This window comes from Homo sapiens, chromosome 15, assembly GCF_000001405.40.
Source record: "Homo sapiens chromosome 15, GRCh38.p14 Primary Assembly".
Classification (NCBI taxonomy): Eukaryota; Metazoa; Chordata; class Mammalia; order Primates; family Hominidae; genus Homo; species Homo sapiens.
Window position 1 is genome coordinate 64200445 of NC_000015.10, and position 16649 is coordinate 64217093.

The following is a 16649-nucleotide window of genomic DNA, read 5'->3' on the forward strand; positions in this document are numbered from 1 at the left end:
AAGTGACTCTCCTGCCTCAGCCTCCTGAGTAGCCGGGATTTGAGGCATGTGCCACCACACCCAGCTAATTTTTATATTTTTAGTAGAGACAGGGTTTCACCATGTTGGCCAGGCTGGTCTCGAACTCCTGACCTCAGGTGATCGACCCGCCTCGGCCTCCCAAAGTGCTGGGATTACAGGCGTGAGCCACTGCGCCTGGCCGCATTATAGAGTAATAAAACTTCATTTAAAATATTTTAGAATATATTACTACACTTCCAACCCTATTTCTGTTAATAATTTTGATCTCCTTCCATTGATTCTGCTTATTTCCCCATCCCGTCCAGCTCACTTTACTATAACCCAGTTTATTCAATAAAGGATGTGAAGTAGATTTATAACCATGCCTTTATAGGTGGATAGGCAGATCATTTCTATATCTCTGCTACCAATGACAATGCAACAGTTTTATGCACATAACCTATACTTTGAGTGGTTTTATTGATTGATTTCAAGAAGTAAGGTATTTCATCAGAGAAGAAAATAACTTGATCAAATTGCTTTCTAGCCAGGCACAGTGGCTCACGCCTGTAATCCCAGTACTTTGGGAGGCCGAGGCAGGTGGATGACCTGAAGTCAGGAGTTCGAGACCAGCCTGGCCAACATGGCGAAACCTCATCTCTAATAAAAATACAAAAATTAGCCAGGTATGGTGGTATGTGCCTGTAATCCCAGCTACTTGGGAGGCTGAGACAGGAGAATTGCTTGAATCTGGGAGACAGAGGTTGAGGTAATCTGAGATTGCACCACTGCACTCTAGCCTGGGTGACAGAGCAAGACACTGTCTCAAAAAAAAAAAAAAAAAAAGAAAGAAAAAGAAAAGAAAAAAGAAATTGCTTTCTAGAGAATTTGTACAATTCGTAAAATCAACAGCAATATGTCAGTTTAACTGTGCCCTCACCTGCACTAGCTATTAGCTTTTAAAAAGGGAGGGATGGGAGAGAACTGCAGAAGTCAACAGTCTTTTGTTGTCAAACCAGAAGTCAGTCAAATTATAAATCTTAAACAACGACTTTAAAGGATGTGACTATGGACCCAATTAGTGCCCAGAGTTTGCTTAACCCTTTCTTTTTTGCCCACCTATTTTCTCGTTTATATGTACTCTCTAGTAAATGGCTTTCCTCCTTTTACATACTTTTTTCTTACCCACCAAACCACATATTTTGCCAAGAGTATATACTTACTGGTGAGAAAATATATTTGTGGGTGTACTCCATTGGACATGTGTGTGTGTGTGTGTGTGTGTGTGTGTGTGTGTGTGTGTGTGTTTATATACTATTCTTAACCTATATACTTGCACATGTGCATCTATGAAATAAATGTTTTTGTATTTTCTTGTAAAAATGTTAATACAAGAAAGTGAAATCATAAGGAGAGGAAATAAGCTAATTTGATATGTGATAATTATTTTAAAAATATGTAATCTGTTTATTATGCTTTGCTTATTTACCTACTGTGGTCTCTGTTTTTCTCTTAGCAATATATTTAATATAAAGATAAAAATCCTATGTCATATTTACTTCCCAAATACATAAGCCCTTTTTAAAAATGTCAAACTTGTTGATTTTTTGGTGTGTGTTTGCCTTATCTGTCTTTAGGCTGAGAGATGTCCCTCACTGAGACCACTAGTTTTCCAAACAACGAACAATGAAGGACAGATGACATCGCCTAAGCTGAGTCTTCACTGCAGGTCCATCTCAAATCTTGACCAGCTCTATAATTTGCCCGGGTAGAAGAACAAGGGGTGGTGTGGAGGTTCCATTTCATGCCCAAGTCAGTTGGAAGTCCAAAGTACCTACCATTCTTAACCAGCAAGGAAAAACCAGAACTGGCAAGAGCTCTAGACCAGACTACAGATGAGACCCAAAGTGGGCTACCTGGTACATCCTGTCTGTGCGACAGGTCTTTTTTTTTTTAAACTGCTCCTTGGCGAGTAGGGCTACTCCACAGGCACTGTGCCCAGAGTAGCCTCCAACAGGTCTTTTGGTCCTATGGTAGATGCCTCTGATCCTAACTTATAGCTAGTTCCCCCCAACAGCCAACAGACTCTGACAGGCCCACACACTTTTTTTTTTTTTTTTTTAAGACAGGGTCTCACTCTATCACTCAGGCTGGAGTGCAAATGCGGAAGCAATCTTGGCTCTCTGCTGCCTTGACTTCCCGGGCTCAGGTGATTCTCCCACCTCAGCCTCCAAAGTAGCTGGGACTATAGGCACGTGCCACCATGCCCAACTAATTTTTTGTATTTTATGTAGAGACAGGGTTTCACCATCTTGCCCAGGCTGGTCTTGAACTCCTGGCTCAAGTGATCTACCTGCCTTGGCCTCCCAAAGTGCTTGGATTACAGGCATGAGCCACTGCACTTGGCCAGGCTGACTCTTTAGACTGGATGCTTCATATAGGGCACCTGGCCACATCTCAGTGCAACTATACATGCCCTGAGGGTTGCTTGAAAGTCATACCACACCTGTAAGAAATGGCAAGCATTTGATCTTTATTTTCAGTACATACACTAAAGCGGAGAAGCTGAAGAATTTGGGTTTTAATATTAGCCAAGAAGAAGGGTAGTGTCTGAAAGAATGGAGGATCAACACATACCTGATTTCGAAGAGGCTGCTGTTGTGATGGCCGATCCCTATGTGTGTGGCTTTCTCGAGTTATTGCAGATGCACCAGAATCTACGTGAACTGACCCTACTGGAGTAGGCTAGAAAAATGAAACAAAAAGTCAAATGGGGGAAACAGGTCCAACTTGATGCATATGCAAAGGACAGAATGATTCTAATTCTAATAGAGTAGTAGTAATTATTTTCAGCTACCAAGAGCACTTTCAAGTTGTCTTGTCTTCTCAGTTTGCTCATCTGCAAAAGGGAGGCAGCCTGGTCCTTAATAGTTCATTGGAGAGTAGCTTACCTTCGAAAACAAAAAACCAGGGCCGGGCGCGGTGGCTCGTGCCTGTAATCTCAGCACTTTGGGAGGCCGAGGTGAGTGGATCACCTGAGGTCAGGAGTTCGAGACCAGACTGAGCAACATGGAGAAATCCCATCTCTACTAAAAATACAAAATTAGTCAGGTGTGGCAGCGCGTGCCTGTGATCCCAGCTACTCGGGATGCTGAGGCAGGAGAATCGCTTGAACCTGGGAGGCGGAGGTTGCGGTGAGCTGAGTTCACACCATTGCACTCCAGCCTGGGCAACAAGAGTGAAACTCCGTAAAAAAAAAAAAAAAAAAAAAAAAAATTTCCTCCACTGATATCTGTTTGGCCCTGTGAACCCCTGACCAGAACAACAAATTCAAAAGCTTCCTATGATGCTGGGTTCCACTGCTACAAAGGTCAAGTACATTAACAGCGTATGTGGCATCAACTTCTGAATCATGGGGCCAGGTGTGGTGGCTCACGCCTGTAATCCCAGCACTTTCGGAGGCCAAGGAGGGCAGATCACCTCAGGTCAGGAGTTTGAGATCAGCCTGGCCAACATGGCAAAACCCCGTCTCTGCTAAAAATATAAAAATTAGCCGGGCGTGGTGGTGTGTGCCTACAATCCTAGCTACTTGGGAGGCTGAGGCAGGAGAATCGCTTGAACTCAGGAGGCGGAGGTTGCAGTGAGCCGAGATTGGCGCCATTGCACTCCAGCCTGGGAAAACAAACAAACAAACAAACAAACTTCTGAATCATTCAAATGAAACTTCTCCTAAAAACTGGGCTTAAATTCTGTTATCTTAGGACACACAAGTTATTATCTTCCTATATTACTAGGAAAAAATACTTCCTACTTCTGAACTAGTAAGAGCAACCTATGGCAACACCCAGACAAGGCTAGTAAATATACAGTCTACGATCAAAGGAATATTTTTACCAAAGATTCAAGCAGAAAGACTGGCAAGTAAAGGCATGAGGCAGTGCTGGTTGGAGAAAGGAGGTAATGAGGTTAAAAAAAAAAAAAAAAAAGGATACTTACAATAGGTCTCCCAACCCAATCATAGGCATAGTCAAAGGTGTAGCCTTTCTTTTCAAAGAGGTCTGTGAAGAGGGTCCGTAAATACTCATAATCAGGTTTTTCAAAGAAGTCCAGTCGCCTGACATATCGAAGGTAGGTTGCCATCTCCTCTGTTAGGAAAGAGATGAAAGGCCCTGCTCATTAGCTGAATGCTTTCCATAGCAGTTGTGGGGAAGCATTGGGCCACAAAGGGGTTATTTATACAGACAATTTGACACTGATGTTTTCTTTACTGACAAAATAAAAGTGATAAAACCTACTTTGGTCTGTATCACAAAAGGAAATGTTAATTACCTAAACAGCACCCCTATCTAGAGATACCCAGTCATGGACTCTACCTAGTTTCAAAGCTCAGTCACACTGGAATGTCTTTTTAGCATCCCACCTGGAAAGTTCTCACAGAGAGCTTCAATGGGAGTATTCCTTTTGGTGTCACCAATTTTTTGATATCTCTCTTTTAATGTGTCAGCCTGTAGAGAGTAAAGAGAGAAAGTTACTTTAAAAGAGGGCCTAAACATGGGAGATTCAATATGTTTTTGGACACAATGGTTGTTTCACTCAAATTCGCAGTATTTGTTGGTCTTGATTTTTTTTCTAACACTAACAAATAAGAAATGTAGTAGAAATTATATATTTAGATATATACAAACATCTGCTGTGTTCTGGAAAATTTTACTTGTGAAAATATTTAGTTGTCTCAGATAAACACCATCAAATATAATGGATGAGTGGCTAGGATAAGAAAATAACAATATTATGTGGCCAATATTTTCAAAATTGCAGAAGCTTAGTAATATCCCATGGCCACCATAATTCAATATGATTCAGCATTCTCTCTTAGATCAGCTCTAAAAGTACTGCTAATCCAGGTGGGGGAAACAGATAAGTAATTCTACTACACATATATTGAGACTTTGAACAGAAAAAAAACAATAACTGAAAAATGTCTTTCAACAATGTGCTTCCAGAGGGAAAAAAGTTGTCTATGGTACAGCCATGGCTAACAGGTTTGGTGTATGTCAGTAACTCAAAAGCAGCCCAAGTCTGGTATGCTCAGAGCTATAGCCAGAGGGCTTCTGAACCCTGGATCAACAGTGGGCTCCTAGGGAATTCTTGTCAGGCTTTACCTAGCTTGCTGCACTCAGACTTAAGCAATAGTGTTCTGAAGTAAATAGGAGAAATTTTAGATCTACAACTACCACTAAAATGATTTATGGACAACGAGAGAGTTTCAAGCAATTAATAATACACTAATGCATTGTGTGGCTGTATGATGACCAAGTTTGACATGAAACTCTATTTGAAAGCTATAAAAATCAATGAGAAGATGTATATGACAGGAGAGGAATTTAAGAGTGAAGAAATAAAATCTCAAAGGGAATGGGTGGAAGTCTTACGTTTTAGGACAATAGTCTAGAAAGCCTACAGCAAAATGAACCATCCTGCCTTTCTGGAAGAGGGGGTGTAGGAGTACCCCAAACTACTGATTAAGTTTCTTTCCATATTAATATGTTGAAATAAATTACAACCAAAAAATATGTCTTGGGCCAGGCGCGATGGCTCATGCCTGTAATCCTAGCACTCTGGGAGACCTAGATGGGTGATCACTTGAGGTCAGGAGCTCGAGACCAGCCTGACCAACATGGTGAAACCCCGTCTCTACTAAAAATACAAAAAATTGGCTGGGTGCAGTGGCTCACGCCTGTAATCCCAGCACTTTGGGAGGCCGAGGCAGGCGGATCACAAGGTCAGGAGTTTGAGACCAGTCTGGCCAATATGGTGAAACCCCGTCTCTACTAAAAATACAAAAATTAGCCGGGTGTGGTGGCGTGTGCCTGTAGTCCCAGCTACTCAGGAGGCTGAGGCAGGAGAATTGCTTGAACCCAGGAGGCGGAGGTTGCAGTGAGCCGAGATTGCACCACTGCACTCCAGCCTGGGCAACAAAGCGAGAGTCCGTCTCAAAACAAAAACCAAAAAATTAGCTGGGCGTGGTGGCATGCACCTGTAATCCCAGCTATTCAAGAGGCTGAGGTAGGAGAACCGCTGGAACCTGGGAGGTGGAGGTTGCAGCGAGCCCAGCCTGGGAAACAGAGTGAAACTCTGTCTCAAAAAAAAAAAAAAAAAAAAAAAAAAAAAAAGTCTCACAAGATACTAATGGGACTTACAATGGGTTAGAAGCTCACCATTTCCTAGCCAAACAGCCAAAGGCACAGAGTAATGATAATGCTCATAATTATAATAGTAAACTGACATGTAACCACTGTACTGACACCTACCTAAGGAAGGCTATTTAAACTCTACACATTTTGCAATGAATAGATATTGTCTGAATAGGCATTTATTCAATAATACACTTGAAAAGCAATCTTAAACCTGGATTTTCATTTTAGTTCAGGTGAGTTCTTAGCCTACATAGGATAAACAAATATTTTCCAAGTTTTCCTGAGGAGTACACCCTGCTGGCCTTTCTGGTAAAATGTGTAGCAGCTGTTGTCAACAATTTGTTCCAGAAATTCCCTTACATACTGGGAACACTCCTCCTGCTACATAATGGTAGTGGAGGAGGAATACCAACACAGAGAGAAAAGCAGCACTGTCAAGCCTGGGAGGAAATGAGGGAAAAGATCATGGAAAATCCAAGAACAAGGAAAAATTAAGAAACGGAAGACAAATGTGAACAAAACAGTTTCCAAAGCCCAGGAGAGCATTTATAATGTAGACTAATGTAATTAGTCCCTGCTTCTTATCTCCAGAGCCAATTAGCCAATAATCCTTTTTGTGTGTTGTTTTAAAAAAATATTTATTTGTTTATGTTTAAATAGAGATGGGGTCTCACTATGTTGCTGATCTCAAACTCCTGGACTCAAGCAATCCTCCCACCTCAGCCTCCCAAAGTGCTGGGATTACAGGCATGAGCCACCGCATCTGGCCAGCCCCCTACACATTTCTTAAAAACATGAAGCCAGAGGCTCCTTCATTAACAACTGAGCATTGAAACAAAGCCCTCCACTGAACACTTTCAAGGATACCTTGAGTCCTTGCCAGGGGAGGCTGCCTCGAAGGAAATACATGAACATATGGCCTAGGGCTTCCAAATCATCTCTCCGGCTTTGCTCTAAAAGGGAAGACAGATCACACATTATGTTTGCAGTTATTAAAGCAGAAAGAGGTTCAAAACCAAGTAATCCCTTCAGAAACCCTTCGGCTCTGGAAAGGCTCTGCTTACTAATTACTTGTATATTTAAACCAAGGATAGTATTTTAGATCAAAACCCTAAACCGATGTGTACTTCCTTTGCCTAGATCTGTTGATGGTAAGTAAATATCAAGAGAAAAGAGCAAATTCTGAATTAAAACCAAGCCCAAATCACTAAACAGTGAATTTCCACCCCTCACTCAATGCTGTCACCTTCCTGAAAGTGATAAAATTTTAATGAAATGCTATTTCCAGTATATGGGCTACAATTACCTTTTAGTTACCACCAGAGAGTGAGCAGCAGATTAAGCAACCCAAACTGTTAAAACAGTCCATTCTGGCTAGGCCTGCAAAGATACAAGCTGCAAAATGCCTAGCAAACATGCCAAGTGCTTTTTATTCATCATAAAAATTAACACTTAAAATTAAGTTTCATATCAATGAACATCAGTACATACTCTCTTGGCTCCCATTCAATTTGTACCATGTCCTATAACCTCAAAAACATTTTAGAATTTATTACTAAGGTCTCCTCAAAATTAGATGGGTAAGGCTACACACATCTGTAGTGCCAGCTACTTAAGAGGCTGACGTGAGAGGATCGCTTCGGCCCAGGAGTTCGAGATAAGCCTGGGCAACATAATGAGACCTCATCCCAAAACAAAATAAAACAAAAAATCAAAGTCCCTGCATTCTGGAAGCGTATCTAAAACAAGTTGCTGGGTTTTTCTCTCCTTTTAATTGGGAAGGTGAAGATGACAAAGAACTGCAAAATAGTTAACAAAAAACTGCAACTTCATCTCAGAAAACATCCTACACATTCTTTGATTGTTAGAATCTAAGTAGTACACACCTTCGTTTCTTTATTCTTTTTTACAGACAGAGTCCTTGCTCTGTTTCCTAGGCTTGAGTGCAGTGTTGTGATCATGGCTCACTGCAGCCTCAAATTCCTGAGCCCAAGGGACCCTTCTGCCTCAGCTGAGTAGCTAGGAATATAAGTGTGTGGAACCACACTCGGCTAATTTATTTATTTTTATTTTTTGTGAAGATGGGATGTCGCTATGTTGCTCAAGCTGGTCTCAAACTCCTGGCCTCAAGCAAATCTAACATATCAGCCTCCCAAACTGCTGGGATTACCCATGTGAGCCATTGCACCCAGTCCATGCATTCATTTTGAATTTGCCAATTATGGTTTAGTCTCAGATTTCTTTTTTCTTTTTTTTTTTTTTTTGAGACAAGGTCTCGCTCTGTTGCCTAGGCTAGAGTACAGTAGCATGTTCTTGGACACTGCAGCCTCGCCCTCCTGGGCTCAAGTGATCCTCCCACCTCAGCTTCCTCACTAGCTGGGACTACAGGCATGCACCACCATCCCTGGCTACTTTTTGTATTTTTTATAGTTACTGGGTTTTGCCATGTTTCCCAGGCTGGTCTTGAACTCCTGGGCCAATCAAGCAATCAACCAGCCTTGGCCTCCCAAAGTGCTGGCACTACAGGTGTGAGCCACCACACCTGGCCCATCTCAGACATTTTATGTGTTTATTTTTCAGAATCAAGTTTAGGGCTTTATCTGAATAAACTACAGAAGCAAGACTAAGAGGCTACCTTCAACTTGATTGTGCTTTCTTTGTACAGAAAGTAAAACCCAAGAGAGCCAGAGAAAGCCACTCAGCTAACTCAAAATACAGAAGTGCAACATGTTTAACTATTGCCTTAAATTATAGGGAATTTGCATGAAAAAGAATAGTAGTCTACAGGGTAGATGAAGAAAGAAAAGGCAACTTTTTAAATAATGATTTGATGGAGGTTGTAAAAAGATGGTTACTAATGGGAAGGAGAGGTACCCTGACAGAGATAAATAACATAAAACTGAGTTGGTATACAACAATTGAAACAATCTTAAAAAGAATGAAAACAGCATGACCATCAGAATCCTTTGTCTACATGGCTTGTCTGAAGTTTGCAATAAAATATTCATAATTGAAAAAAAAAGCAGTTATACAAAAACAGTTTGTTGACACAACCTAAGGATGCACAAATGAAAAAGAGAAAAGAACAAGGAGAGTTGAGTGGAGGCCTCCCACAAAGCAGGGCAGATAGAGAAACGACTCTGCAGTTTCTCATACTGTATCACACCTACTCATTGCCTCTCCATTTTTATATCCACTTCCTGTAACAAGAAGCCCCTTGGTTATTAAAAATTCACTGGACAAATGTTTGAATTTTAAACAGTTGAGCACTAGAGGGCGAAAACTCTCCACATTTTCAATATTGATCAGGCCTACAGAAAAAAGATTTCACAGCAAAATAAATTATGAGATTAATATATTTTTAAAACTCACTGGAATAAGTAATAAAGTAACTTTTCAAATCCTGAGAACTATGAAAAAGAACTATAGAATATGGGACAATAGGAAAAATAAGGGTTCCTAAATCAGGAAGGGTACCTAAATAAGGTACCCAAAATAAGGGTACCTAAATCAGCTCAACGATTTAGGTATCTAGATCTTGGTTTATCCTTTCCACTAATTTAATCCAGTGAAATTAAGCATGGTCAAGTCACCTACTTTGGGTCTCAGTTTCCTCATCTGAAAATAAAGTGTTCAATCTGGGGAGAATTTGAAAAGTCATTTTCCAGCTCTAAAATTCTAAAATAATCTGATAACTTAAGCCTTTAGGGCCTTTCAGGAAAAAAATAAGAGTGAAAACCAGAGCATGCTTTATTTTCATACGACTTTGAACACTCCACACTTGTCCAATTCATTATTTCTACATGCCCTCATTTTTTCATGCAGCATATTTTCATTTTCAAAGAAGAAAGGTTTCCAATACCAGTGAGACCAGCAGGACACAAAATTCTTCAATTCTTCTGATTGGTTGAAAGGTGTGCTTTCATCCAATCAGAAAGATGTGCTTGGTTTACATGCATAACATCCCTGATTTTAGGTTAAATATATTTGTTGAAGGCAGGGAGCAAGGTAACCCAGTGTTCTCACCCTAATTTCAACCATTAAATAATATAAATTGGGCTTCTCAGTAAAAGCTTAATCAGTGGGAAGGTGGCTACTATGGTCTGGATTTCTGTCCTTCCCCCGGACCCCCCAACACACACAAACCTCACGTTGAAATTTGATCCCAATGTTCGAAGCTGGGCCAAATGGAAGGTGTTTGGGTCATGGGGGTATATCCCTCATTAACTGATTAACGACCTCCCTTAGGGATGAGTTCCCAAGAAAGCAGGTTGGTGAGAAGAGCCTAGCACCCCCCTTCCCATGTGATCTGCACATGCTGGCTGCTCCCCTTCCCCTTACACCATGAGTGGAAGCAGCATGAGGCCCCTGAGGCCCTCACCAGATGCAGATGCCAGTGCCATGCTTCTTGTACAGCCTGCAGAACCCTGAGCCAAATTTAAAGGTCTTTTCTTTATAAAATGACCCAGCCTCAGGTATTCCTTTATAGCAACACAAAATGGACTAAGTAAGTGTGGCTACTCTGATGTGGCAACTAATGCAAGGTTTAGGAGGCTTCTTCTCTTGTCCTCCTCCTCTGTAAAATTAAGAAGTGATTTTCTCAAAGCCATTTGAAAATACACATCTCAGTCATTTCTTCTTTGCAACACAAAAAAATGCAACACATTTAAAAACCAATAGCATTAGAGTTCCTACAAAAACTTCTATCGTTTGAGGCATGGGAAAGAGTTTAAAAAGCAGTGACAACTTTCTTTATGTATTCTCTGTAATGCAGAGAGCACAAAATATGATGACAGGTTAGATTTGACCTGAAAAACTCTGGTACTCAGTAAGCCAAGTCTGGGGGTAAACTCAAAAGTCCCGGCAGGAATGGCAGTACACCAAGAGATGAAACAGACTGATGCACAGTAGATGCTTAAAACAGATTTTGTTGAATAAATAATAATCGGGATAATTACAATATGGACTGATATTACTATTATCAGGCATTATGCTAAACATTTTACATACATTATCTCATAGAACCATATATTACAGGCATAATTATCATACCCATTTTATACATGAGATAACCGAGGCTGAGGGAAGAAGGTTATTGGATCAAAATTACATAGCTATTAAGAAAGAGCGCCAGGATTTGCATCCTTTTTCTTAACCACTACTCTGTATCTTATACAAACATAACATGAACACCCATCCCTTGTCTGTTCTTGTCTTTCCTCTTAAGAACAATAAAATTAGTACACAAATGGCTGAGCCCAGGAAGTGGGCATTAAAACAACTTCTAGAGTTTGTCAGTTAAACCACATAATCTTAAGTTTATTATTTAAGATACAGTTTTTGTTTCCTTGTAAAATGGAAAATTACTTGTCATTGTGAAGGAAGAAGGGGATGCTGAGCACTATGCAAGAGACCTATGTCAGACATGGTGCTTTCACATATATTATCCATTCAACCCTCAAAATATCCCTGTGAAGCATTACCCTCATTTTACAGAGGAGTTTCAGTGAGATTAAGTAACTTGTCCAAAGTAACGCTGATAGTAAGTACCAGAGGACCTCTAGTCTAATTTTAAAGTATTACATTTACTTAAGTGAGGATTTCCATGTGGTTACTGAAAAAATCTTGATAACATCATAATTTCAAATCGAATTGTATCATACTACTTTGTAATGCCATTTTTTACTCTTCACTATCACTTGAATTCCTCAGGTGAATAACCTGTGTAGTTTACTCAATGAGGGAACTTAGTAGATATTACATTAGTCTTTAAAATACTTATTAATGTGCAGGCCAGGCATGGTGGCTCACATCTATAATCCCAGTGTGTTGGGAGGCTGAGGCAACAGGATCTCTTGAAACCAGGAGTTTGAGACCCGCCTGGGGAACACAGTGAGACTCTATCTCTATAAAAAAATTTAGAAGTTAGCTGGGCATGATGGCATGCGCCTGTAACCCTAGCTACTGAGGCTGAGAAAGATCTCTCCAGCTCAGGTGACTGAGGTTATAGTGAGCTATGATCACACTGCTGCACTCCAGCCTGAGTGAGAGTGAGATTCTGTCTCTAAAAATAAAATAAATATGCTGGGCACGGTGGCTCACACCTGTAATCCCAGCACTTTGGGAGGCCGAGGCAGGCAGATCACTTAAGGCCAGGAGTTCAAGACCAGCCTGGCCAACATGGTGAAATCCCGTCTCTATTAAAAGGACAAAAATTAGCCAGGTGTGGTGATGCATGCCTGTAATCCCAGCTACTCGGGAGGCTGAGGCAGGAGAATTGCTTGAACCCGCGAGGCAGAGGTTGCAGTGAGCCGAAATCGTGCCACTGCACTCCAGCCTGGGTGATAGAGCGAGACTACATCTCAAAAAAATAAATAAAATAAAATACATCTTAGTGTGCAATAGTTCACTAATATTTAAGAATATTTTATAATTATTTCTGCCTAGGAGTATGGAATCTGAGAATATTCTGCTTGTCTACTCTCTAGAATGTTGATTTTCAAACATGTTTTTTTCAATCACCTAGGAGTCTTTTCTTCAAATAGAATCTTCCATGGAAGCCCAATATATGAAACATAAAAAAGGGAGGCTTTTTTGAAGTGGATAAGCCTAGGGCTCTGCCTGCTTGGTCTCCCCACTGTTCCTTAGGCTTCTCTGACAAATACTCTCCCCCTTGGGCTAGTTCCTCACAGGTAAGGTCTTCTGCCTTGATTAGAGCATTTAACAATATTTGTGCAGGTTGTTTATCCTGAGTAAATTGCAAGACTAATGGTAAACCAAGTATATTTTCACTGAATAAGACAGAAGCTCTTCCTTGAAGACTTCTGTGCAGAACTATGTGCAGTGAACAGAAGTCTACTCCATTTTTAGTGAGGCACTCTTCCCCACCGCTGACCCAGCCTGATGTCCTCTTCAGGACTATCATATATAGGGTCATACATAAGTAAATACCAAATTCATTACTAAACTCATTAAAATGCTATCCTCTTTTTACAATAATTCAAGTACTCACACTGCTCAGAAACTAAACATTTGGAAACAGTGTAAAGAATTAAGAACCTATGCATAGTCTATAGGATTCTTTGAAAAGTCATTAACTTACCATCTCAACTTCTCATGTATAAAAATCACTCAACCTTGTGAAACAATAAAAACCACAAGTTGTAATGCACAATGGGGATATAATGTTACAGAAATAATAAACTGTTCTAATGACTCGCCCCTTTCATGGAACAGAAAAAAACACACCTTTGCCAAGATGCGTGTTGATAGACATATATCTTGCAGTTCCAGTTAAACTTTTGTGTTCCCTATAAGGTATGTGTTTTTTGGTTTCGGGGTCAATGTATTCCTTGGCCAGTCCAAAGTCTATAATGTGTATAACATGCTCTTTCTTATTGCCTTGTCGACCAATCAGGAAGTTCTCTGGCTTGACATCTCGGTAAATGAGGTTCTTTGAGTGCACGTATTCCATTCGAGAAAGCTGAAAGAGAAACAAATGATAGAAAGACTGTAAAGAAGTATATCAGGAAAATACATCAAAACAGTTTCTTTAGCCAGACCAAGGTTTTAATTATTGAAATAACAGTAAAATTCATCTCCTTTCACCGCCCTGAGTCACTTCACTGACTTGTAAACAAAAAAATATTTTGCTATAAATACGTACACAACAAATATCAAGACTAGGAAAAAAAGTGGGATAGTACAGGTCTGCTAAAATGATAGCTCAATTTTACCTCATAATGTCACAATTTGCAAATGACAAATGAAATCAGTTGTTTATATGCTACGTCAGAAAATTAAGCATTTGAGACAAAAGAAGTATTCCCAGGTAGGATATCAAACTGTTGGTGACCTTTGAGACAAATGCCACTGCTACATTCACCTTCTGCCCACATCTTCTTATGCTTATTTGGACAAGACTACCCAACCCAGTTTTCGATGTTGTGAGGCCCAGAGAAGTTAATACTGGCCTGACATCACATAGCTAATTAGCAGCAGAGACAGGGAAACAGTTCATTATTATTATTATTATTTTTGAGACGGAGTCTTGCTCTGTCACCCAGGGTGGAGTGCAGCCTCAGCCTCCTGGGTTCTAGCAATTCTCGTGCCTCAGCCTCCCGGGTAGCTGGGATTACATGCACATGCCACCATGCCTGGCTAATTTTTGTATTTTTAGTAGAGACAGGGTTTCACCATGTTGGCCACACTGGTCTCAAACTCCTGACCTTGGGTGATCCGTCCTCCTCGGCCTCCCAAAATGCTAGGATTACAGGCATGAGCCACCATGCCTGGCCGAAACAGTTCATCGTTGTTGTTTTAAATTTATTTTCAGATTATTTTTGTAGAGATGGGGTCTATGTTGCCTACGCTGGTCTCAAACTCCTGGCCTCAAGTGACCCTCCCACCTCAGCCTCACAAAGTGCTGGGATTATAGACACGAGCCACCATGCCTGGCCAGGGCTATAGTTTTTATGTTAAGTTAAATATAACCAAAAATAATAATCATAAAAGCATTTCAAATTTTATTAAGTATTTCTATCTACTAAGCTTTTCTACTAACTTTTTTTTTTTTTTTTTTTTTTTTTTGAGATGGAGTCTTGCTCTGTCGCCCAGGCTGGAGTGCAGTGGCACGATCTCGGCTCACTGCAAGCTCCACCTCCTGGGTTCACGCCATTCTCCTGCCTCAGCCTCCTGAGTAGCTGGGACTAAAGGCGCTCGCCACCACGCCCAGCTAATTTTTTGTATTTTTAGTAGAGATGGGGTTTCACTGCGTTAGCCAGGATGGTCTCGATCTCCTGACCTCATGATCCGCCCACCTTGGCCTCCCAAAGTGCTGGGATTACAGGCGTGAGCCACCATTCCCAGCCCTTTTCTACTAACTTTTAGTAGAGAAAGAGAAGCTCAGATATTTGAATTTGGGGCTCAAAAGTCAAAGTCAATTATCTAACATTTCCAAATTTTTATAGGACAGTGGGAGAGACCATTACCATTTTAAACAAATGAAGATATATTTGCATCCTTCCCCAAAGGGCTTGTGACAAACTTCTCAAAGGAACTGTTGGAACTGCTTCTTAAACTGGTATTTGTGTATAATTTGGTAGGAGCTACAAGAGCTGCCTCTTCAGCTGAAATTTGTCTCTGAGAGAACTGGAGGCCTGAGAACTACAGCAAATTCCTAGTCACACAATTTTGAATCTGAGTGTTAGTGCAATGGGTTATAACATCAATCTTTTCTTGGTTGCAACAGTGAAGGGAGAGATAGGACATGACAAAACCTTACAGCTATATTTAAAACACATAAATAGGCTGGGTGCAGTGGTTCATGCCTGTAATCCTAGCACATTGGGAGGCCGAGGTGGGAGGACTGCTTGAGACCAGTTTAGACAAGCCTGGGCAACATAGTGGGAGTCTGTCTCCAAAACACTTTTTTTTTTTTAAATGAGCTGGCATGGCACCTGCAGTCCTAGCTGCTGGAGAGGCTGAGGCAGGAGAATCACTTGAGCCTAGGAGTTTGAGGTTGCACTGAGCTATGATCATGCTACTGTACTCTAGCCTGGGTGACAGAGACCCTGTCTCAAAAATGAAAAACAAAACAAAACAAAATCAAATAAATTATTCACATTTTTACAACTCCATCTAATCGACCTCTTTCTCCCTAATCTAAATTATATACTTCCTCTTCAGTTAAGGGCAGAGCATTGCTCCAAGGTGCAAAGTCTTAAAATAGAGCAAATTGCAGATGTAGTGTGACTTCTCTGAATTTACCCTTTTTGCCCCAGCCAGCTTCCCAGAATGCCATCAAGCCTGTGAGTACTAATTCTTGATGTGTTGCTACGGCTAGTAAATCACCAAAAGGCCCACAAGGATGTGGCTGAGGAACCAGCTTATTCTCTTCTAGAAGAGCAATTCCAACTTACCAGCTGGATGGCTATCATTAACACCGTCTTCAAAGTAAATGTTCGGTCACAGAGGTCAAACAAGTCCTCCAAGCTAGGGCCAAGGAGCTCCAGCACCATGGCATTATATTTCCCACATGGTCCAAAGTAATACACCTGTGGGAGACCTTCACCTGAAAGCAGAGGGGAAATGGGGGTATACAGTGGGAGACACAAAAGCCAAAATATGAGATAACAGTATTAGCACTGAATAAAATATTTTTAAAAGTACAATTTGTGAGATTTCCATTTTCTTTCATAGTCCCTACTGGAAACTCAAACTGAGCACAACAGCTTCAATGGGAACTAATAATGATGGGAAAGGCTAAGTCATTGCACAATACGTTCAAATGAGTAGTTATTTAATACCACAGTGCCAAAAACATTTCCACTGCTATAAGATAGAGAATGGTCCCTGATCCATTGGATCTTCCCAAAAGGATGCCTGAAAGTGCAGTATCATAAAAGGCTCAAAGGATGGCTCACTGAGCTCAAAGGCCAGGCTAACATAACT

General features: G+C 40.8%; 1 protein-coding gene across 4 annotated transcripts in view; it reads right to left on the reverse strand.

The window, feature by feature from the left end:
* CSNK1G1 (casein kinase 1 gamma 1) overlaps positions 1-16649 on the reverse strand; it is a 190649-nt gene that overhangs the window by 34920 nt on the left and 139080 nt on the right. For all 4 annotated transcript variants that reach the window (NM_001329606.2, NM_001329607.2, NM_022048.5 and 1 more), the window contains exons 5-10: positions 16118-16269; positions 13446-13680; positions 7065-7150; positions 4421-4505; positions 3997-4145; positions 2638-2745 (exon numbers count right to left, since the gene is read on the reverse strand). In NM_001329606.2, coding sequence (NP_001316535.1) covers positions 2638-2745; positions 3997-4145; positions 4421-4505; positions 7065-7150; positions 13446-13680; positions 16118-16269 — 815 coding nt within the window. The remainder of the gene's footprint in view (positions 1-2637; positions 2746-3996; positions 4146-4420; positions 4506-7064; positions 7151-13445; positions 13681-16117; positions 16270-16649) is intronic.